The sequence below is a fragment of the Homo sapiens genome, chromosome 1, assembly GCF_000001405.40.
Source record: "Homo sapiens chromosome 1, GRCh38.p14 Primary Assembly".
In the NCBI taxonomy this organism is placed as follows: Eukaryota; Metazoa; Chordata; class Mammalia; order Primates; family Hominidae; genus Homo; species Homo sapiens.
The window spans coordinates 223,733,465-223,756,185 of NC_000001.11; the positions used below are offsets into that span (position 1 = coordinate 223,733,465).

Genomic DNA, 22,721 nt, shown 5'->3' on the forward strand with positions numbered 1-22,721 from the left:
AATTTATCTTTTCAGTAGAAGGCCCTGGAGTTTAAAGGAGTCATTCATAAGGTCTGTCTGGGAGTGCCTTGTCCTCAGAGGAGGGTCTGGGTGGGTTGGAGTGGAAGGAAGGGCTGGCTACCTGGTGTGCTCTCCGTGGGTCCCCAAGAAAGGCAGCCCTGCTGGGGGCAGTGAAGCCCTTATCCAGGTCACGTGAGTCTTGGAAGGGGAAGGCTGCTGTGCTTAACGATTCAAAAACACAAATCAAACCTCCTTTCCCAAACAAATTAGAAGGTGTGGAGGAAGCTTGAATTCAGAGAGGATTTCCCAGAGACCCATAGGCAAAAGTGGCTTAACTGAGCCCAGTGGGTGTCCCAGAATGGGCCAGAGAGAATGACACTAAAAAGTCTTTGAACAAATGAGCAAATGAATACAGGAATGCTCATCTGCCATAGGCACAAACGTGGTAAACGTTCCCTGAGAGAACTGACAGCCCAGGGGTGCAGGGAGAGAAACGGTCCCAACTGCAGACTGGGTCCCAACTGCAGACTCGGTCCCAACTGCAGACTCAGGAGGAGGGAGGCTGTTAAGGGGCCGTCTTTCCTTCTGTTATGTGAGGAGAAAAGCAGGGAAGGGACCTCAAGGCCAGCCTCTCCCAGGAGCTGCTGTTCTCAGCCCCGGGATCCAGCGCTACAGGGAAGTGCAGGGGAGGCTCCACAGTCCCGGCTGGAGACCCGGTCAGGCCTGGGTGGCCACTCTTCTTTGTAGTGGCCACCCTCGTGTCACCAGCAAATGCTTTTGTATCTACACCCTTCTCAGTGCTCCCCCTCTTTTAAAAAATGTACTTTCTTTTTTTAAAAAGAGTTGGGTCTTGCCTTGTCACCTATGCTGGAGTGCAGTGTTGCTGTCACAGCTCACTGCAAACTCCACCTCCTGGGCTCAACCCATCCTCCCACCTCAGCCTCCCAGGTAGCTGGGACCACAGGCACACACCAGGACACCTCGCCCAGTGCTCACTATTTACCTTTATTTCTTCCTTATTCGGACACCCCTTGCTTCCAAAGAAGAGTTTCGGAAGGCTCAAGACGGTGAGACAGACACCTTATGCACTGCTTCACTCTCCCCCGCAGCTCCCCTCCCTCCTCACTGACCCCCGGCCACAACCCTCTCTCCTTGCCCCTCACCAGCCGGCACCCTTGGCAACCCTGGCACCCTTTCGAGGACAAGACTGCCAAATGTGGCCAAGGTCTGGCACACCATGTACCAATCGAAACTCCACTTCCCTTGAGTTTCAGTTTCCACGCCTATAAAATTAGCAAATGAAAAGAGCAAACACTTGGAGACACTGTTCTCAATGCTTTGCATATTTTTTTCATTTAATTCTCAGTGCCATGAGACAGTCTATTATTATTAAACCTATGTTATATATGAGGAAACTGAGGCACAGAGGGAGTAGTTTCCCCAGGTCACAGTCAGGATTTGAACTCCATGGTCTGGCTCTAGTGTTTCCCAACCATTCGGGGTGGGAGTGGGAGAGAAACCAGACTGCTCTCCCTAGAAAACAGCATGTGTTTGCATGTGTGCCAAATTTGCACAAAACATTTGGGGTTCCAGGTCTCTAAAGCCCATCCATGGAACCCCGGTTTCCCTTCTCTCACGTGATCCTAACAACCTGCCGAGGATACACCTCATCATGATCCTCCTTTCACAGCTGAGAACACACCAGCTTAGAGAAATTAAGAAGTGTATCCAAGCTCACACAATCTTAAGTGGCCAGATCAGGACCAAAATCCAGGTCCTCTGGCTGGGCGCAGTGGCTCATGCATGTAATCCCAGCTCTTTGGGTGGCCAAGGCGGGTGGATCACCTGAGGTCAGGAGTTCAAGACCAGCTTGGCCAACATGGTGAAACCCCATCTCTACTAAAAATACAAAAATTAGCTGGGCATGGTGGTGGGCGCCTGTAATCCCAGCTACTCAGGAGGCTGAGGCAGGAGAATTGCTTGAACCCAGGAAGCAGAGGTTGCAGTGAGCTAAGATGGAGCCATTGCACTCCAGCCTGGGCAACAGAGTGAGACTCTATCTAAAAAAAAAAAAAAAAAAATTTGTGGTCTTCTAACCACAAATCTAGTGCCCCTCCCCAACCACCTCTGGTCCAGCCTCTTAGATCTATCTGGGATGTCTTTCCACCATACTCCTTTCTGGTTTGAGAACCACCTGAAGGCTCAACGTGGCTGTGGGGTGCTCCGTGGAGCCATTTGGCCTGTGCCCAGCAGCGAGGGGGACAGCCAGCAAAGGTACCCCCGCCCCTGCCAGCCTGCCACCTACTTGGGACGTTTCTTTTCTTTTTTTTTTTGAGACGGAGTCTCGATCTGTTGCCCAGGCTGGAGTGAAGTGACGTAATCTCAGCTCACTACAACCCCCACCTCCTGGATTCAAGTGATTCTCCTGCCTCAGCCTCCCTAGTAGCTGGGACTACAGGCGCATGCCACCATGCTCAGCTAATTTTTGTATCTTTAGTAGTGACGGGGTTTCACTATGTTGGCCAGGCTGGTCTTGAACTCCTGATCTCGTGATCTGCCCACCTTGGTCTCCCAAAGTGCTGAGATTACAGGGTGAGCCACCGCACCCAGCCTACTCGGGACCTTTCACCACCCAAGTGACCAGCACCCCTGCCCAGAGTGCCCCGGTTCTGTCCACTAGGCCAGCAGGGACCCCGCCTCTGGGATTGTTTGCTGGAGGGGTCCTGGACAACGTAGAAAGGGCAGCACACAGCCCTGGGCAGGAAGGGAGGCAGGAAGAGAGATCCTCAGGGGCTGGGCTGGAGGAGCAAAGCCAGCCAAAGGGGAGTGAGAGGGCAGTCAAGCGCCTAGAAGCCAAGGAACCCCAGGAGGATGGCATCGGGCAGGTGCCTCCTGGTGCCCAGAGACAAAAAGATGTGTGGGAAGGTGACAGAATCAAGCGGTAAGGTCAGTGCTTTGAGGGAGCAGGCAACCACCAGCCTCCAGTGACACTTGCCTTTCACAGGGATCCTGGAGGTCCCCATTTGGGAAGGTGGAAAATCTCAGTTCCAACCTAACCAAAAGATACAGGGGCAAGTTTGGCCTTGAAACCCTGGACCATCTGCCCTGGGTGATTTCCTTTCAACAGTGCTGGGTCCAGACTCCCAGAACCCTACCTCTCCCATCTTCCCCAGTAAGCCTGCTTTCAGTCCTTTTCACACGAGAGCATTTAAATCCAAGGGTTCCCTTCCCCCTGGGTATTTGCAGCCCATCTGATCTCTAAATGTAGAGTGAGAGCCACTTGTAGAAATTAAGTCTAGGCTGGTCACGGTGGCTCACGCCTGTAATCCCAATACTTCGGGAGGCTGAGTCAGGAGGATCACTTGAGACCAGGAGTTTGAGACTAGCCTGGGCAACATAGCAAGACACCTCTACAAAAAAAGTTTTTTAATTAGCTGGGCATGGTGGTATGTGCTTGTAATCCCAGCTACAAGGTGAGGTGGGAGGATCACTTGAGCCCGGGAGGTCAAGGCTGCAGTGAGCTGTGATTGCACCACTGCACTCTAGCCTGGGTGACAGAGTGAGAACCTGTCTCAAAAAAAAATAAAAATAAGAATAAAGAAATTAAGACCAGATGTAGGGGAGATTTGTGGAGGAAGGGACAGGAGGCCCCTAAAATCCCATCCTGTAGGCAGCCCCTGCTTGACTAAGCATAAGGCTCGTGGGGCACCCAGGTGGGCTTTTTCTGGAGAGGAAGCAAGGCAGAAAACCCCTCCATTTTCCATCCCCAGCCTCTCAGGTCTGTGCCAGTTGAGTGTCTTCCAGGACAGAAGCATGGCTGGGTATGGAGGCAGCCTGGATATAGGGATGGCCGGTCTGTCAAGCCCGTGGTCAGGACCTTCACGGGGCAGCTTAGGAACCTCCAGGCAGGGCCTCATCTGCTGCCGTTAGTAATAAACATGGCCAGCAACAGCCAGGGCCCTGCTAGCGGGAGATGTCATCGGTAGCCACCTTCCTTCTCTGCAGAGACACCGTCTGTCCCATGGATGAGCAGAGTCCCCTGGGGACCCAGCTCTGACACTTGTCCTTGCTCATGTCCAGGGTGCTGGACAGACTGAGGCAGGTGTCAGGCTCCTGGGATGAGAAAGGCAGATGAGAGATGGGAGTGGGAGCTTTACAGTGACTTAGGCAGAATTGCTTAGTATTTACATATGCCTTACCTCATTCCACAGAGAATTTAAGGCCTGACCAAAAGAGACGGGGCGGGGGGTGGGGGGGAGAGAATACAATAACACCATGTACTGTAAAGAAAAACAGTCAGTTCTAAAAGAAAAACAACCCAGAAAGAAGGGAATGTGTCAAAACCGGGAGAGGGGAAAAAAAAAGGCATGCATGCTTTCAAAAGCACCTTAGGGGCTACAGATGGGCCCTATACTTAGTGTTGACACCCAACAGCCATAAAAGAATCTCACTGTGCCCCCAGGGGAGCACAGGGAAGGTCTGATTCTAGATTTTTTCTGTGCCATTTATTTATCTATATCCTCATGCACAAGTTCTATACTGTTTTAATTGCTGTAGCTTTTTATGTGTTTAAACATCTAATAGAGGTAGACTTCCTTCTCTTAGATTTTTTTCTAGCTATGCTTCATATTTAATTTTTAAATAAACTTATCAGAATCAGCTAAGTTCAAAAACAATTTTTAATCTTATTACCTTTTTTTTTCTTTTTTGTGAGACGGGGTCTTGTTCTGTCACCCAGGCTGGAGTACAGTGGTACAATCATAGCTCACTGCAGCCTTGACCTCCCAGGTTCAAAGTGATTCTCCTGCCTCAGCCTCCCAAGTTGCTGGGACGATAGAAGCATGACACCACACCTGGCTAATTTTTTAAAAATAATTTTTATAGAGACAGGGTCTCACAGTATAGTGAGATTTCAGGGTGGTCTTGAAATCCTGAGGGCTCAAGAAATCCTCCAGCCCTGGCCTCCCAAGAGCTAGAATTACAGGCATGAGCCACCGTACCTAGCCCTATTGCTATTTTTATTAGCATTACATTAAGTTTATAGGCTAACTTAAGAGGACATGGCATTTTTATGATAATGAGTTTTTGCAGTCAAGAACGCAGGCCAGTTTTTTTTAAATGGGGTAAATGATTGTCCAAGCGCCTCCAGGCAGGCTCACGTGCACACTCTGGAGTCAGTGAAGAAGGTGAACAGCTGACAGGAGCAGCCTCCCAGTCAGAGAAGCCCTGCACACTGTTGCAAACAGACAGCTTGCATCTGGAGTCTTCTGTGATCCGAGGAGGAAGCGTGGCTGAGTCCTTCCCAGAAGAGGGTCTGGAGCTGTGAGTTGGGGACAATTGTCAGATTCTAGCAGTGAAAGTGGTTCATGTGCAGGTGCAACCTGCCCCGCAGTCACGGGACACAGCCACATGGAGCCGAGCCACGCTCTCAGAGAAGGAGCCAGGGAAGAAACACCCTAACTGCACTCCTCCCTTCTTCTGGCCCCCAGCAGCCATAGGCCCTGGGCCCCCGGTGAGATACCCATAGAGATCAGCTCCCAGGCAGCAGGATGGAGGGTGTAGACTGGACATGAAGAGGCAGCTGGAATGTATCGGGCACTCAGCTCCAGCTCACCACGATCCAGGCACTCAAGTTCCCAAGACAATAGTTTCTGCTCTCAGATAAATGGAATAATTAAGGATCAAAAGGTTATCAACAGGTAACCAAGCATAAACAGATTTTTTTTTTTTTTTTTTTTAGACAGAGTCTCACTCTGTGCCCCAGGCTGGAATGCAGTGGTGCAATCTGGGCTCACTGCAACCTCCACCTCCCAGGTTCAAGTGATTCTCATGCCTCAGCCTCTCCAGTAGCTGGGACTACAGGCGCGTGCCAACATGCCTGGCTAATTTTTGTATTTTTAGTAAAGATGGAGTTTCACCATGTTGGCCAGGCTAGTCTTGAACTCCTGACCTCATGTGATCTGCCCACCTCGGCCTCCCAAAGTGATGGGATTACAGGTGTGAGTCACCATGCCTGGCCCATAAGCAGATTTTGTACCTGAGCAGGAAGGCTAAGAGCTTGTAACAACTGAACATTCCCCCCGGAGAGGAAGGCAGGAGTTTTGCTTGTGCCAAGTGCACTGTTCAGACAGTCCTCTGAGGTACACCAAGGTCTGAGTAGCCATCCCACCCTCCCCTCTGCCAAAATTTTTGTGTGACTGGAGAGCAGAGCCCTCCTCCAAAAATAAAATGAGCACAAGGAAAATACTATTTGCAGATACATAATATTAAAACCATAGGTCTTTCTTTTTCTAGTCCCATCCATATGGCAACATTCCAGGAGAGGCCTCCGTCACTGGAAGGCACCCTCAGGGGCTTTCCTGGAGCTAAAAACAGTTTAAGCCAAAAGTTATTTGTAGCATCTGAGTTAAACTCTTCGTCTCACCCTTCTCGAGCTAGCTGGCTTATTTTATCCGGACCAGGATATAACAGCTCTAAACAGGCTTTGCCAGGAAGAGACGTCATGGACTTCAACCAGGGCACCTGACCAGGAAGAAATCACTGCAGGATGATCTGAAAGAGTTTTCATAAATTATTTTACGTAAGGTAGATTCTGACCTTGATGGGGACAGCCAAGGTTCTGGACCCTCAGCTGGGAAAGATGGGACTAAGTCTACAACTGCTGAGGTTGTAGAACAGGCTTCTTGTTGGGAGGAACCCTCTTGTGGACATGGGCCGTCGAGGTGGAGTGAGAGAACACCGTGCCACCTGGACGCTGAAACACCATTGAGTCACCTCTGTTTGAAATGCTTGTTCCCTGGTGCCGTAAAGAAATAGCACTTGAACATAAATTTAATTTACTCAGCAAGGACATTTTTATACTTTCTGTGAAAGGGTACACTCACCAGGAGTTTTGCCACGAGAGTACACCAAACAAAGGAGACAGGGTCATTTATAACCTGACGCGTCCACCCTACTGCTGTGTCCAGTTTCCATTGGCTGGAACAGGACCTCCCATTCTGTATTTGTCCCGATTGGCTAACAACTTAGAACTTTTTAAAAGAGGCAAAGGCAGAGGAGAACAAAGGAAGGAGGAAGTAACTTGTGGAATGCTGAGAAAGGTAAAAACACCTTTAGATAAGGAAGAGGAACAGGCTATGACCTAATGCTTGCTTGGACCAGTATAAGCATGCCAGGGAAAATACTTAGGCTAAATTGTGGGAGCTAAGAACATAAAGTACATTGATTTCTTTATCATGGCTAGCAGATATTTAAGAATGTTAGCACAGGTCTTTGAATAAATTTTGCTTCTAAGAGAAGTTACTATTTATTCCTAATTAAATGGGGAGGAAGGTCTTTGAAGAGAAACCTTTACACCTCTTAAGGACAAAAGTCCCCAAGACCTGTCCAATTTCGAATTCAATTAGGTGAATTCGAAATTGACACCAGCCTCTTTGCAGAGGAGACTGTTTTGGTTATACATCAAAAGCCTGTGCTTTGCAGATAGACCTGACAGCCACTAATTAGCTAGGAGCGTTGGGTGATCCAGTCCACCTCCTTAAACCTCAGTTTCCTCAACTATGAAATAGAATGAAAATAGTACCTACCTTGGAACTGTTCTGTGACAAGGAAATGAGATAACATGATAATGTGCATAAGGCTTTTAGCTCGGGGCCTGGCACACCTAAGCCTTTGTGTAATCATTGTGTAGATCTTGTCACTGAGAACGCTTACACGAGCAGATATTAAAATAAAGGAAAGAAGTCAGTTGGGTAAGGGAGCTTCCCAGCTTGGTTCAAAATATTTTGCTGATTGGGGTGAGGGAAAGAGTGAAGGAACCAGAAGCAAAAAAAGTAGGATTTCAAATGCTTCCCACCTTTTTAGAAATCAAGACATTCTTTAGTGGCCTCTACATCTCCTTCAACTCCAGAATTTGGAAAACTGATGAAAAACTTTTTGAATCTTTGGCTGTAAAATGTATATATATATATAATGTGTATATATATATATATATATATATATATATTTGAGAGGGAGTCTCATTCTTGTTGCCCAGGCTGGAATGCAATGGCACAATCTCGGCTCACTGCAACCTCCGCTTCCTGGATTCAAGCGATTCTCCTGCCTCAGCCTACCGAATAGCTGGGATTATAGGCGCATGCCACTATGCCCAGCTAATTTTTGTATTTTTAATAGAGACGGGATTTCACCATGTTGGCCAGGCTGGTCTCAAACTCCTGACCTCAGGCTATCTGCCCGCCTTGGCCTCCCAAAGTGCTGGGATTAAGAGGCATGAGCCACCATGCCTGGCCTCTTTTATCTTTTTCTTTTCTTTTCTTTTCTTTTTGGGGGGCACAGAGTCTCACTCTGTTGCCCAGGCTGGAGTGCAGTGGCGTGATCTTGGCTCACTGCAGACTCCATCTCCTGGGTTTAAGCAGTTCTCCTGCCTCAGCCTCCCAAGTAGCTGGGATTGCAGGCGTGAGCTACAAGGCTACCAACTGACTGACTCAGGGGATGTGTCTCCGCTTACCATAGATCTGTCATTAGCGTATATAGGCCTCAAAGAGCTGTAAGCAACCATGTCTAAGTGCTAACAGGACAAGCTAGGTCAGGAACTCTCAGGATGCTAAGTCATCGACTAGAATTCAAAGAATTCAGTGAGCTTCAGCTGGTCCTGCTGGCTCACGCCTGTAATACCAGCACTTTGGGAGTCTGAGGCAGGCGATCACCTGAGGTCAGGAGTTAAAGATCAGCCTGGCCAACATGGGGAAACCCTGTCTCTACTGAAAATACAAAAAATTAGCCAAGCATGGTGGCAGGTGCCTATAATCCCATCTACTTGGGAGGCTGAGGCAGGAGAATCACTTGAACCCAGGAGGCAGAGGTTGCAGTGAGCCAAGATGACACCATTGCACTCCAGCCTGGGTGACAAGAGCGAGACTGTCTCAAAAAACAAAACAAAACCAAAGAATTCAGTGAACTTCAATAACATATATATATGTTACTGATATATATAACAATATTACATATATTACATATTTTATATATATGTGTGTATATATATATATATATATATTTTTTTTTTTTTTTTTGAGACAGGGTCTTGCTCTTCTGTCACCCAGGCTGAGTGCAGTGGCATGATCACATCTCACTGCAGCCTCCACCTCCTGAGCTCAAATAGTCCTCCCACCTCAGCCTCCCAAGTAGCTGGGACTACAGGTGTCTACCACCACACCTGGCAAATTTTTGTATTTTTTTGTCGAGACAAAGTTTTACCATGTTGCCGAGGCCAGTGTCGAGCTCCTGTGCTCAAACAACCCACTGACCTTGGCCTCCCAAAGTGTTGGGATTACAGGCGTGAGCCGCTGCGCCTAGTCTTCAGTAACATTTTTAATAAACCTGTCAATTGGCGAAAATAAATCCAACAGTGAATTAAACTCCTTTGAGGCTACTTCCCATTATTGTCATGGGAAATTGTAGGAAAGTGCACATTCCTTAAGAATGGAGTAAACTTCCTCATCCTCTTCCCAGGCCCCCTCCCCTTTGTTTGTGTTTTGTGGTGAAGATGACCCCTCCCTGCAAACCATCTGGGTGCTGTTGCTGGCATCAGCTTGCTTCTAACTGCATGAAATGATTGTGGTGCCTGCTGTGCTGAGAACCTAGCACTGGCACCAAATGGGTGCCGAGTGCTTACACACCTGCTCTCATTATGCCTCACACTTATCCATGTCATGGGGGAGGGTTCTGAGGCTCAGAGAGGGACCAGGCTGCCTGGCCAGCTGCCCACCTCGTTGTGCCCATCCTTGTCTACCCCTTGAAGTGACCTCTGCCCCTCCGCACAGAAACCCTTCGGGACAGTCCAGCCTTCTGCCTCTGACTCAGGGCTTTTCCATCTGCACTGCTCCGTACTTACTTCCTGCGACTGTACTCCCTGCCAGAGCCTCTTTTCCTGGCTCTGACCTTCCTCCTAGGAGGCGTGCAACGTTTGTCCCCTTCCCATCTAGCACTACGTTTTCTTTCTCTCACTCAAACTCCCCTTTATATATTTGTTTGTTTATTTATTTAGAGATGAGGGTCTCCCTCTGTTGCCCAGGCTGGAGTGCAGTGGTGCAATCATGGCTCACTGCAGCCTTGAAATCCTGGGCTCAAGGGATCCTCCTGCCGCAGCCTCCCAAGTATTCGTATTATAGCTGGGACTCCAGGTGTACGCCACCACACCCAGCCCAAACTCCCATTCAAAGCCTGTGTGCTCAGAAGCCTCTGCAGCTGCGCTGGTTTCATTCTCTCACTGTGGAGCATCTGCTGCGAATCAGGTGCAAGGCTGGGCTCTGAGGGCACAGTTCAGCCACCAGAGTTCTGGGTCTTTCAGGGAATGAAATTTCCCATCTCTGCCCAACCACAACACAGCAAAAACATTTCTCCCTTTGCATTTCCCTCAAAATACTAGGTTGGTGCAAAAATCACAATTACTTTTACACCAACCTAATAGCCCCCAAACCCTCTGACCCAACCCTCATATGGGGGACTGCCTGAAACTTCACTCTGTCTATTCACAGGTTGTCTTAGGCTTTAAGCCCCTGGAGGTGGAGACAAGATTTTTAACATCCTCCTGGTTCTAAGACCCTCTGATAAGAGCTCCTTGTGCTGTGTTCACAGGTGACTGCTGGCTGCTGGCAGCCATTGCCTCCCTCACCTTGAATGAAGAAATCCTGGCTCGAGTCGTCCCCCTAAACCAGAGCTTCCAGGAAAACTATGCAGGGATCTTTCACTTCCAGGTAACTTAATGGTTGGCTCAGGTGGTTCCTCAACAGGTCCAGGGGGCTAGGAACAGTCTTCTGGCTTGGCTGGGTTCATCAGTCCCTGGTGTTTGCAGACTCCCAAGACCAATACTGTTCTACAAAGGACATTGGGCGAGAGCAGGAAGCTTCCTGGCTTACCCGTGGCCAGGATGTGAGACCCGGCTGGGATGGCCCTGGGTGGTTTCTTGGGACATGTAAAAGGGAGGTAGAGCAAGGTGTTCAGGAACTAATTCCCAAGTTTAAAAAAAAAAACTGTATTATTTGATGTTTGAGACAAAAACGTTGAAGTTCTCCTCCTTTTATGCCGGTAAATGAGAAATAATACTTGAAAAAGCTGGCTGGGCACGGTAGCTCATGCCCGTAATCTCAGCACTTTGGGAGGCCGAGGTGGGCAGATCATTTGAGGTCAGGAGTTCGAGACCAGCCTGGCCAACATGATGAAACCCCATCTCTACTAAAAGTACAAAAATCAGTTGGGCGTAGTAGTGCAGGCCTGTAATCCCAGCTACTTGGGAGGCTGAGGCAGGAGAATCACTTTAACCTGGGAGGCAGAGGTTGGGAGGCCAAGGTGGGTGGATCACTTGAGCCCAGGAGTTCGAGACCAGCTGGGGCAACATGCTGAAACTCCGTCTCTACTAAAAACACAAAAAAAATTAGCCGGGTGTGGTGGCACGTGCCCTTAATCCCAGCTACTCGGGAGGCTGAGGCAAGAGAATCACTTGCATCCAGGAGGCAGAGGTTGCAGTGAGCCGAGATCGTGCCACTGCACTCCAGCCTGGGCAGAGCAAGACTTGGTCTCAAAAAAAAAAAAAAACAGCCTAAGGTACAGGGCAGAATGCTAAAGAGGCGGGTGTGGATTTGAAAGGATGGACATGCGCCTCTGTCTTCGCTTTTTTAGTGAGGACTTGGCCTGCATAGGAGAGTTAAGGGAGCACCTCCTCCCAGGATGCGCTCATGGAACCTATCCCAGGGGATCAGGGCAAGGGGAGCCAGAGGCAGCTGAGGCTCAGAGTCCCAGTGCTGCCACCAGCTCCTCCTGCAGCCCACCTCTCTTGTTCTGCAGTTCTGGCAATACGGCGAGTGGGTGGAGGTGGTGGTGGATGACAGGCTGCCCACCAAGGACGGGGAGCTGCTCTTTGTGCATTCAGCCGAAGGGAGCGAGTTCTGGAGCGCCCTGCTGGAGAAGGCATACGCCAAGTAAGTTGCCATCCTCCCCTGGCCCCATGGCCTTCCCCCAATGCCCTGGATTCCAAAAAATTCACTCATGCCTGTAATCTCAGCACTTTGGGAGGCCGAGGTGGGTGGATCATTTGAGGTCAGGAGTTCGAGACCAGCCTGGCCAACATGATGAAACCCCGTCTCTACTAAAAATATAAAAATCAGTAGAACTACTCCAGGACTACTTTGAGTGGGAAGTCCTTTTCTATAGAAGGACTTCTTTGGCCAAAATTAGGCTCTAAATGCAAGGAGATAGTGCATGCAGGGTGCCTGGCTGCACTGTACGCTGATAAATGATGTCTATCACCATCTTTAACCAAATGCACAGGAACAAGTTATGGTACTGATTGTGCTGGACTTGAGAAGGAGCTCTACTTCCTTGACAGGACACATTTGTATCAACTTAAAAAAGCAGAATTTTTGCCAATGGGCAGAACTATTCATTGCAGAGGTAGGAAACTTGCCCAGAATAGATGATGTCACTGATTAGCAATGGCTTCCCCATCTCCGCACAGCTGCTTCCCACCCAGGTTGCCCACAGTTGAGTTTGTCCAGTGCTCAGGGCTGCCCACTCTCAGTAAGAAGCCCCACACCAGCCCCTCTCCACAATGGCCCCATGTTGGCTGTGCCGCCCGGCTCCTTCCATTAAAGTGACCCCACTTTAGAGCAGCAAGTGGATTTCTGTTTCTTACAGTCCCAATCCAGGAAGGAGGAGTCAGCTGTGAGAACCTGGAGCCTGACGGATGCTTCTAAGTCCCACTGCTCAATACTGGGGTCAGGGAAGCCACCGGACTCCAGCATCAGCAGTCAGGAGCACTAAGCCCTTGCCAACACCGTGCCTGTTTCTCAGAGAAACTGCTTCCATTATTGAATGGTTGTCCTTTTTTAAGCTATCAATGCCAAACGACCCATTAGTAGACCTCCCCTTTCTTGTCAGGATGTAGAAGGAATCAATACAGGAGGTTCATCCAGAAAATCACTAAGGTCCTTCCGACTCTAAGGTTCTACGAGAATCTTTTTTTTTTTTTTTTTTTTTAATACGGAGCCTCATTCTGTCACCCAGGCTGGAGTGAGCGGCATGATCTCAGCTCACTGCAATTTCCACGTTCTGAGTTTCAGCAATTCTTTTGCCTCAGCCTCCCAAGTAGCTGGGACTACAGGCATGCACCACCATGCCCAGCTAATTTTTTTGTATTTTTAGTAGAGATGGTGTTTTGCCATGTTGGCCAGGCTGGTCTTGAACTCCTGACCTCAAGTGATCCGCCCACCTCGGCCTCCCAGAGTGCTGGGATTACAGGCATGAGCTACCGCGCCCGGCCTGAGATTTTCTTTAAAACACAAAATACCAGGGAAATGGTAACTGTGGACATTATACCTTGCCTTCCTGAGCACCCCGAGCTGGGAACAAGGCCAAGGAGAATGTGAGCAGGGGGTCCCTGGAGCATCAAATCTAGACGGTACTAGGGGGTGGCTGTTTGAGAGATTATAGCATCAGTAGTGTCAAGGGTAGCGGCAGCGTCTAATCCCCTCTTGTAGGATCAACGGATGCTATGAAGCGCTATCAGGGGGTGCCACCACTGAGGGCTTCGAAGACTTCACCGGAGGCATTGCTGAGTGGTATGAGTTGAAGAAGCCCCCTCCCAACCTGTTCAAGATCATCCAGAAAGCTCTGCAAAAAGGCTCTCTCCTTGGCTGCTCCATCGACGTAAGTCCAGGCTGCCTTCCCTAGCCTCACCCCATCTGCTCTTGCTGAAGGGAGGCTCCCACAGTGCCCAAGGGAACCCACTGCTCCTGTGTACAACGTAATGCAGCCCTCGTCCACGTAGGGGCCAAAGGAAAACCTCCCTCCACCCTCTGAAGGTCCGCTGAAAATCAACTGGCAAAAGGAAGACTAATACAAGAAATGGCATACAAATGTATGAATGTGGACAGGGGAGAATCACAAGAGATTTCCCTACCACGCATTGGGATACAGAGGGTTATATTCCCTTCCTCTTAGGGGAAGGGAGATGGGGAGGTGCGGATGATTTTAGGGATGTCGTAAATGATTTTTAGGGGAATTCATTGGGCTTAAAGAACATAAATGGTCTGGGATAAAGTCTGTTGGGCCTGCAGAGCAGACAGTGGTTTGTGACAAGTCTGTCTAGCCATGTTGACAGACTTGTCTTTCTTCCTGCAATATGAGTTCAGTTCATAATAACTCATGGAAAGGACCAGACGTCATTGTTTTCATCTTTGGCAGGTCCAGACTTTAGGCAGGTGAGGGAACTTCAGAGAATAGCTTCCTCCTGTGCTTTGGGGGAGAGTGGATCGAGAGACAGAAGGAAAGGGGAGGTCAGAGAGATCTTGAGGCTTCTTCAGTTTAGCATTTCAAAGTGCCATCTCTTAGAGGTATTGGTTTCTGAGCACCCCAGTGTCTACCATTATTGCTCATCACCTGGAAGCCAAGGGTTGCTAGGCAAAAGTCAAGCTGTCTGGGGTGTAATGGATGGGGTGATGGTGCCTCCAGCCCTTCTGTCTTCAGTCCACTTCCCACTCTTAGCCTGCTCTGAATCACCCCCACCCCTCTGACCACAGGTTCCCTGGGAGCCCCTGCCACCTGCTGCCCCTGCCACCTTCCCCTCCATCTGCAGTGCTGTGCAGCCTTCCCCTGCACTCTTGCAGAGCTAATAGGCCCGTGGGAGACTTCGGAAGGAAGAGGAGGAAAGATTTCCTCATAATAGCCTTGCTGGCAACGCTCACCAGGGGATGGGAGGTGGGCACTGTGCCCAGGAGCCTTGGAGCAAAGGCTGTGCCCAACCTCTGAGCCCTGTCCCATCCAGGTTCTGGTCTCTGCGGGGGACAGAGATAAGAAGCCCTGGCTTTTGGAGCCAAAATCTAGGTCAGACTCCCTAGGCAGGAATTCTCAAAGTTTATCAGCAGAACACGTTGAGGCAGAAGACCCTTTCTGCTCCAGCCCTTCTTCCCAGGCTCAACCTTCATCAGAATAGATAGGGGAAAGGAGAGGCTGTGAGGCGTTCTTAAAACAGAAGCAAATTCTGACTCAGACCGGAATAAACAACCGTCCTAGTATAAACCCTACAGCTGGGCTGGGCCAGACCACGGAGCATGGGCTGGTGGTGGGGCGAGGGTGTGCTCAGTGTCCCTGGGCCACTCAAGGCTGTCTGGGTATCAGCCCTGCGCCATCGAGGACCCCCTCCGGCCCTCTCTCGGCCGTGCGCCCTTTCCCTGCGCCATCGAGGACCCCCTCCAGCCCTCTCTCGGCCGTGCGCCCTTTCCCGCCCTTCCCAGCCTGCAGAAATCCGTGGATGCGCTATTCACACGGGAATGCCTGTGCTCGTTCCGCGAGAGGGTTGCATTCCGCCTTTTCTCTGGTATTCTCGGCGTTCAAGCATTTGAACGGGGTAGGAAAGGTTCTCCAAGTGCAAGAAAGCGCAGCCCTGAGCCTCCCACCCCAGGCCTCGGCCGCTGCGCTAGTGCGTCCGGCGGTCCCGCCCGGCAGTAGGACAGAGGGAGCGAGGGAGTCCGGGAGGAAGGGAGAGCGGGTGCGGCCAGTCTGACGGTTGCTGTGTTTGCAGATCACCAGCGCCGCGGACTCGGAGGCCATCACGTTTCAGAAGCTGGTGAAGGGGCACGCGTACTCGGTCACCGGAGCCGAGGAGGTAACGGCCGGCGCGGATGTGCAGGGGTCCTGCTGTCCTGACACGATGGCCACAGGCACAGTTTGTGGTGATGCCCAGGGGCCCGCGCGGCCCCACGGTGGTCCAGTTTACACTCGGGCCCCGCACTCCTGAAGTTCCGCGCGGGAGGAGAAGGGCGTCCCTTTCGCAGCTCGGGCGCCGGGTGCGCCGCGCTGCCACCTGGTGGCCGCAGTGGCCGGCGCCAGGGGCCCTGGTTTTACTTGTTTTAGATGTTACCCTGTTTTACAGTTACAACCTTACTATTTTGATAAGCTAAAAATAATAAAACAATGCATCTTCATAGTGTTTTATACTCTATAAGGTGCTTTCTCTTTTGATCTCGTAAAAGTATTCGTGCCCATGTTCAAATCTGACTGCCTCTTACCAGCTGTGTGGCCTGGGCCAATTACTGGAACTCTCTGTCCCTTAGTTTCCTCATTTAAAAAATGGAAATAATGATAATATCCATTGGAAGGTCGTGGCGATTCAATCAAGTTAATATATGTAAAGTGCTCAGAGGTGACTCACACATCATATATAAGGAGGTAGCTGTCCTTGCTGTTGTGATCACTGTTGTTATTGAAAATATTATGGGCTGACATGGTGGCTCACACCTGAAATCCCAACACTTTGGGAGACCGAGGTGGGAGGATCACTCGAGCCTAGGAGTTCAAGACCAGCCTGGGCAACGTAGCAAGAACCTGTCTCTACAAAAAAAAGTTAGCTGGGCATGGTGGCATGCCACTGTCGTCCCAGCTACTCGGGAGGCTGAGGTGGGAGGATCACTTGAGCCCAGGAGGTCGAGGCTGTAGTGAGCCATGATCATGCCATTGCACCCCAGCCTCAGCGACAAAGTAAGACCATGTCTCAAAAAAAAAATTATCAAGCAACTCAAGTTCACTGTTAATTACAGAACCCAGTCTAGACCGCAGATCTTCTGCATGTCCAGTGTTCTTTTTTTAACCTTGATTTTTTTAACTACCCCCTCACACACACACGTCTTTTTATTTGAAAATTTTCACGTATACAGAAAAGTTGAAAGACTAACATAATAACTATCCAATTGCCACTCCCCTAGATTCACCGATTGCTAACATTTGCCATGTCTGCTTTATCTATGTGTGCACTTTTTTTGAGCCATATGAAAGTAAGTTGCAGACGTTATGACACTTCCCTCCTCAATACTTCAGCATTTATTCCCTATGAATAAGGACATTCTGTTACATAATTCCTCTACTGTTGCCACACCTAAGAAAATAACATTAATTCAGTAGTGTCATCTATTATAAAGTCTATACTAACATTTTCCCAGTTGCCCAAAATGTCCTTTCTGGCGACCCACCCCAACCCCATCCAGGACTCAATCCAGATTCACTCACTGCATGTGCCTGTTATCACCAGTGATCTTTCAACAAATGGTAAAGCTTCTCTGAGCTCCTTTACCAAAAGCGCATCCTGTCAGTTAAGCTGAAGTTCAGAGATGAAGCACCAACAGCCCCATCCTCGAGAGCCGGATCCTGGGAGCTTTAAATCTCATTTTCCAAAGCTAGGCAGCAGTGAGAGGTCTGGGTGCCAAGCCCCCTCTAGCTCTTGTGATCCTCCCTCATACATGGACTCAACCCCCAAATCCTCCCCACCGTCCTCAGCCCCATACCTCCTGGCTCATGCGGAAGGGGGTTGGAGGCCCAAGCCTTCATAGCCCTGACTTGAACTCAACCTCTTACTCCTCCCTTTTATCTAATCCTGCAGGTTGAAAGTAACGGAAGCCTACAGAAACTGATCCGCATCCGAAATCCCTGGGGAGAAGTGGAGTGGACAGGGCGGTGGAATGACAAGTGAGGAGGGCGCAGGCCTCGGGGCCCCAGGCGGGGGTGCATTGTGCTGGGAGGCTCTGGGAAGAGGGCGAGAGAAGAAGACATGTGCATTATTCTGAGAAATATAGCCAGGAGAGCCCAGGCCACGTGGACAGGGACCCGTGGACAGGGGCCCCTCAAAGGGTCTTTTAACCAGGACACTCCTCCAGCAGCCTGAGTGCCTTCTTCCAGGCCCCAAGCTGCTCGTGTGAAGTTCATTCCTGCCACTGCCTCCAGGTTCACCCCTTCCCTAGCTCAAATCCACCCTTCTATGGGGCTTTCAGGGAAAAAAATACACCCCACCTTCCCCCAGGCACTTCTATTACAGGGATGTGAACTTTGTACCAAAGGCCAGAGAAACATCCCTCTGTTGATTTCCAGGGCTTACTGGTAGGCATGTTGAACCCTCAACTATTTGGGGTAAACACTTGTTTGTACATCTGCTGTGGCAACCTCAGCCTACTTGCTCTGCCTCAGGTTGGAGAGGTGGGCAGTACAGAGGCCTGTGTGTAATTCCAGCCAAAGCTCAGGCAGTGGTTAGTTTACCCTGTGCACTGCCCCTGTGTACAGGGCCAGGTCCTTCTGCTCCGTGGACAGAGAGACACCTGCTGAGGCTTCCCAGGCCTCAGCCGGAGGCTCCTCATCAGATCTTCAGTTGTCTCTAAAAGAGCTGCCAGGCCCATCTCAATTGGGCAACTGCTCTGAGCTACTCCATCTCCCTCTAATGAACTATGTTCATTTTCTGGACTCTTCCTTGCCACTGTCTTCCAGCACAACTCACCCGCTCACTTTGCTCCCTGGTTTGCATCTGTATAGTGTTCTATACTCTTTAAAGTGCTGTAAGAGTATTAAAATGCAGCTGTTAGCCAGATGTGGGCTACTTTCCCCCTTTCTGGAGCCTGAGCCCTCAGAGGTGAGAGCAGATGTCCCTCTTCCTCAACTCTGGGGCCTTTGGGGAGAAATCATCGTACACTAACGCCTCTCTCTTTACTTTGTTTTCCAGCTGCCCAAGCTGGAACACTATAGACCCAGAGGAGAGGGAAAGGCTGACCAGACGGCATGAAGATGGAGAATTCTGGTAAGATTAGTGGAGGCTTCAGGGAAAGCTCTGTCTGCCCCAATGTTCTTTACTAGAAAACTGCTAATTAGAAAGAGTGTCGGCCAAAGTGAGTTTACCATGTCGAGGACACAAGCGTGTGGGATCCTGGTTTTGTTATTTTAAGTTCACTATAAGAGCCTGAATAAAGAAATTCTTAAGCCCCTTCAACGGTCCATCTTGACAATGGGGTTTATAAGCTGAGCAGCTTCAGAAAAAGGCTAAGAGGAATTCCTTTGGTAATGTTCAGATCCCAGGAAACAAGGGAAAGATGGGGCCTTTCTCCCCCAGGTTCCGGAGACTCATCCCAGCCCCTTAAGAAACTGGTCCCTTAGTGAGCAGCAATGGACCCACATGTCTGTGTGTCTGCGCCACTCTATAACCACCTGCACCTGGACACAACATGCTCTTTATCAAATGGGGCCCATATATTGTCACATTTGATGGGCACGGCTCCCATTTTTGCAGGTGAGAGTTCTGAGCTTCAGAGAAGTTTAAGTAACCTGCTCAAAGTCACCCAGCTAGAAAGTTGCAGCGCCAGGACTGGAATCTGGGCCTTCTGATTCTGAACCTGGTGCCCATCCACTCAGTTCTAATGAGCTGCTCTGCCTGGCTTTGGGTGGCTCCTGGTCTGGTGTTGGTGGAAAGTCAAGGCTTACCAGTGTGTCTTCTTATCACCTGTGATGATTGTCTCTGCTTTTGCCAGGATGTCTTTCAGTGACTTCCTGAGGCACTATTCCCGCCTGGAGATCTGTAACCTGACCCCAGACACTCTCACCAGCGATACCTACAAGAAGTGGAAACTCACCAAAATGGATGGGAACTGGAGGCGGGGCTCCACCGCGGGAGGTTGCAGGAACTACCCGAGTAAGGGCTGTTGCATATAAGGGCTGTTGCAATGCGGGGCCACCAAAGGCCAAAGCTCCCCTTACCCCACCCTGTGTACCACACCCCAGCCTAGCAGCCCCAGGAGGCAGCTCCTGCTCACTGGAACCCTCTCTGTCTTCTTTCTCCCTGAGCCTTTTCTTTTCCCTGAGCCTTTTCTCCCCGAGCTCTCTTTCTCAATCCCTTACCTCCTGCCCTACCCAGGACAAACCCAAGAGCCACTGTTTCTGTGATGTCCTCTCCAGGCCCTAGATTCCCCAGCGCCCATCATGACCTTCAGCCTGACCTTCCGCCATGCTCACGGAAGCAGTGCTCAATCCCACTTCACGGCCATGAGCTGCTCTATGCACCCCACACCCAGGCAGCCGAGCCTACAAGGGAACCTTGTCCCGGCACCCAGGGAGCCCTCCACATATCAGGCCCTGTTTGTTGCCCCATACTCACTTCAATCAGCAAATGTTGACTGGGCGCTGCCCAGATGGGGTGAAGATTTCTCCTCTGGTCCAGCCTTTGTTGAGCCCCTTGATTCTTCTGCCTTCATGGCTTAGTCCGTCAGCAGTTGTCTGAACATGATGACATCTGCCAATTATGGGGCACACCTTCAGTGCTTGGAACTATCCTAAGTGTTTTGTACACAGGGTGAGGATCCATAATCTGAAAATGTGAAATCTGAAATGCTCCAAAATCCAAAACTTTTTCAGCCCCAACATGATACCACAGGTGGAAAATTCGACACTTGACCTCAGGTGACAGGTCGCAGTCAAAACACAGTCAAAACTTTGTTTCATGCACAAAATTATTTTAAATATGCTATAGAATTACCTTCAGCCTATGTGTATAAATTATATATGAAACAGAAATGAGTTTTGTCATTAGACTTGAGTTCCATCCCTAAGATATGTTATGTATATACAAATATTCCAAAATCCAAAAAAATCCAAAATAGGAAACACTTCTGGCCCCAGGAATTTCAGATAAGGGATATTCAGCCTGCATAACATTCTATCTAACCTTCCCAACAAACTTCTGAGGCAGGCACTTTCTTATCACCTCCATCTCTAAGATGAGGAAACTGAGGCTTGGAGAGGCTAGTGACTTGCTGAAGGCCACAGAGCGTGCTGGGATTTGAACCCAGGCCCCCTGACTGAGGAGTCACTGTGTAAGTACAGTGGCAGCAGATCATGGTCACATAGTGATTCTCTGTGACAGATGAGGAAGCTGAGCCTCTAAGTCGCATACCAGGGCCACAGAGCAAGTAGTCAGACTGCGGCTAGCTGGCCTACAGTTCTGGGGCTCGGACTCCTTCACCTCAAGTATGCAGCCACCAAGTGGCAGTCCCAGAGGCGCTGGGAAGGCCCTCTGCCCCCCACAAGGGACCCCTCCTACCCACTAGATCAGGAGTCGGAAAACTCCCTCTAAAGGGTCAGATAGTAAATAATTTTGGCTTTGTGGGCCACTCAGTCTCTATAACAACAACTCTATTGCTATAACCCAAAGGCAGCCATACTTAAGCGAATGGCCGTGGCTACGTTCCAATAAAACGTTATTTACAAAAACAGGCAGCGGCCTTCGGAGCCATAGCTGCCAACCCCTACACAAGATGGTGCCTGTAATTTCACAGTTAGGGTTTTATCCCATTAGGTATGGAAAGGCAATTAGCATAATTCCCCTTAAACATGAATGAATCTTAGATTTTTTAAATAAATAGGTTTTGGAAGTAAAGAGGGCAGAGACATCAGGAGCAGGGCAAGGGAATAGGCCTGAGAGGACAAGGGACGCAGAACAAGAAAGAGTCTGGAATTATACACAGGATGTTCTTGGCCTCCGGGCTCACCGAGGGGGCGGCGACCGGCAAGTGCAGGGAGCAGATCCCGGAGTCCCCCAGGCCAGCCGAGCCCCGCCCCAGGCTCCCCATCAGAGCCCAGTGAAGAGAAGGTACCATGAGGGGAAGCCACAGCTCTAACCACCCTGCGTTCCAGAGTGACAGACCAGTCCCCAAGACAAGCCAGCCTGGAGCCAGAGAGAGAACTGCAAGAGAAAGTTTCTAATTTAGGTTCCTGTTAGATTCAGACAAGTGCAGGTCATCCTCTCTCCACAGCTACCGTCACCCGTCTCCAGCCTAACAAAGCCTGCAGTCCACACTCCAACCCTGGTGTCTCCCACCTCCTAGCCTCTCCCAACATCGCCTGCCGTCTCTGACCATCTTCTGCCATCCTCTGCCATCTCCCACCATCTCCCACTGTCTCCCACAGCCTCCCACCGCCTCTTGCCAACTCCCACCATCTCCCGCCATTTTCTGACATCTCCCGCTGTCTCCCACCATCTTCTGCCATACTCTGCCATCTCCCACCATCCCCCACCACCTCTTACCATCTCCCACCACCTCCCACCATCTCCCTTTATCTCCATCCCTCTCAGAAGCCTCCAAGCCTGAGACCAGGGCCACCCCCCACCCCCATGCATTCCTGCTCAGGGCTGGGCTCCTCTGCCCCTTTCTGGCTGCAGACACATTCTGGATGAACCCTCAGTACCTGATCAAGCTGGAGGAGGAGGATGAGGACGAGGAGGATGGGGAGAGCGGCTGCACCTTCCTGGTGGGGCTCATTCAGAAGCACCGACGGCGGCAGAGGAAGATGGGCGAGGACATGCACACCATCGGCTTTGGCATCTATGAGGTGCAGAGCGCAGGGGCTCCTGCCCTCCCTTCCCCATGTGTTCATCTCAGCCCCTGCATGGAAAGCTGACCCCAGAGGCAGAACTGGGGATGGGATCCCAGACCGGGAGCTTGGCCAAGGAAAAACAAAACTACCAGCCTGGCCAGGCTCAGGAGTAGCCCCCGTAGGGAGGCCCCTGCAGTGGCTCTGGGTTGTGGGGCCTTCTAAGCCCTTCACGGGCCCCCCACAGCCAGCCTGCAGGGAGTTCCACTCTCAAATGGCCTCCACATCCCTTCTCACATCCTCCAGGCCTGGCATTCTGGTCAGCCTACCCATCTTCAAAGAACAGAATATACTGGGCCACATCAGGCAATACTGTGAGGGCAGGACTGAGTCCATGGGTGCAGCTGCTCAGAGCTCGGCAAAGTCATTGGCCTGGATGGTGGAGAGCTTGGGGACAGGGGAACATTGGTCATGATGCTCCCCCCAGGGCTCTGATGGCTGGAGCCCAGATCCCTACACAGACTCCTGCTGTATGCGTGTTTTCCTTTCACTCT

General features: G+C 50.4%; 1 protein-coding gene and 1 long non-coding RNA gene across 6 annotated transcripts in view, besides 5 other annotated features; one reads left to right on the forward strand and one right to left on the reverse strand.

The window, feature by feature from the left end:
• CAPN2 (calpain 2) overlaps positions 1–22,721 on the forward strand; it is a 74,422-nt gene that overhangs the window by 31,868 nt on the left and 19,833 nt on the right. For all 3 annotated transcript variants that reach the window (NM_001146068.2, NM_001748.5, XM_047431344.1), the window contains exons 3-10: positions 10,636–10,754; positions 11,842–11,975; positions 13,533–13,701; positions 15,575–15,658; positions 17,426–17,511; positions 18,533–18,607; positions 19,332–19,492; positions 22,016–22,185. In NM_001146068.2, coding sequence (NP_001139540.1) covers positions 10,636–10,754; positions 11,842–11,975; positions 13,533–13,701; positions 15,575–15,658; positions 17,426–17,511; positions 18,533–18,607; positions 19,332–19,492; positions 22,016–22,185 — 998 coding nt within the window. The remainder of the gene's footprint in view (positions 1–10,635; positions 10,755–11,841; positions 11,976–13,532; positions 13,702–15,574; positions 15,659–17,425; positions 17,512–18,532; positions 18,608–19,331; positions 19,493–22,015; positions 22,186–22,721) is intronic.
• Positions 435–1,295: an enhancer, noted in NCBI's record as "H3K4me1 hESC enhancer chr1:223921601-223922461 (GRCh37/hg19 assembly coordinates)". NCBI's record gives its function as "activates a minimal SCP1, AML or CMV promoter by ChIP-STARR-seq in naive H9 embryonic stem cells {active_cell/tissue: H9 hESC(naive)}" and the evidence as "EXISTENCE:reporter gene assay evidence [ECO:0000049][PMID:30033119]".
• Positions 4,865–5,380: an enhancer, noted in NCBI's record as "H3K27ac-H3K4me1 hESC enhancer chr1:223926031-223926546 (GRCh37/hg19 assembly coordinates)". NCBI's record gives its function as "activates a minimal SCP1, AML or CMV promoter by ChIP-STARR-seq in primed H9 embryonic stem cells {active_cell/tissue: H9 hESC(primed)}" and the evidence as "EXISTENCE:reporter gene assay evidence [ECO:0000049][PMID:30033119]".
• Positions 4,998–7,848, reverse strand: LOC105373046 (uncharacterized). 3 transcript variants are annotated; one of them, XR_949169.3, is made up of 3 exons: positions 6,425–7,848; positions 5,522–5,651; positions 4,998–5,320 (listed from the first exon to the last, which is right to left on the reverse strand). It is a non-coding gene; the product is annotated as an uncharacterized LOC105373046 (long non-coding RNA). The 3 variants fall into 3 exon arrangements; XR_949168.3 differs by having other exon boundaries at positions 4,998–5,651; positions 6,425–6,552; positions 6,885–6,978; XR_007066896.1 differs by having other exon boundaries at positions 4,998–5,651.
• Positions 14,643–14,937: a silencer, noted in NCBI's record as "tiled region #14236; K562 Repressive non-DNase unmatched - State 17:Gen3'". NCBI's record gives its function as "represses a minimal TATA promoter and a strong SV40 promoter by Sharpr-MPRA in K562 cells {active_cell/tissue: K562}" and the evidence as "EXISTENCE:reporter gene assay evidence [ECO:0000049][PMID:27701403]".
• Positions 17,783–18,077: a silencer, noted in NCBI's record as "tiled region #3187; K562 Repressive non-DNase unmatched - State 17:Gen3'". NCBI's record gives its function as "represses a minimal TATA promoter and a strong SV40 promoter by Sharpr-MPRA in K562 cells {active_cell/tissue: K562}" and the evidence as "EXISTENCE:reporter gene assay evidence [ECO:0000049][PMID:27701403]".
• Positions 18,781–19,980: an enhancer, noted in NCBI's record as "MED14-independent group 3 enhancer chr1:223939947-223941146 (GRCh37/hg19 assembly coordinates)". NCBI's record gives its function as "activates an origin of replication core promoter dependent on BRD2, BRD4, P300/CBP and CDK7 cofactors, and independent of MED14, by STARR-seq in HCT116 cells {active_cell/tissue: HCT116}" and the evidence as "EXISTENCE:reporter gene assay evidence [ECO:0000049][PMID:35650434]".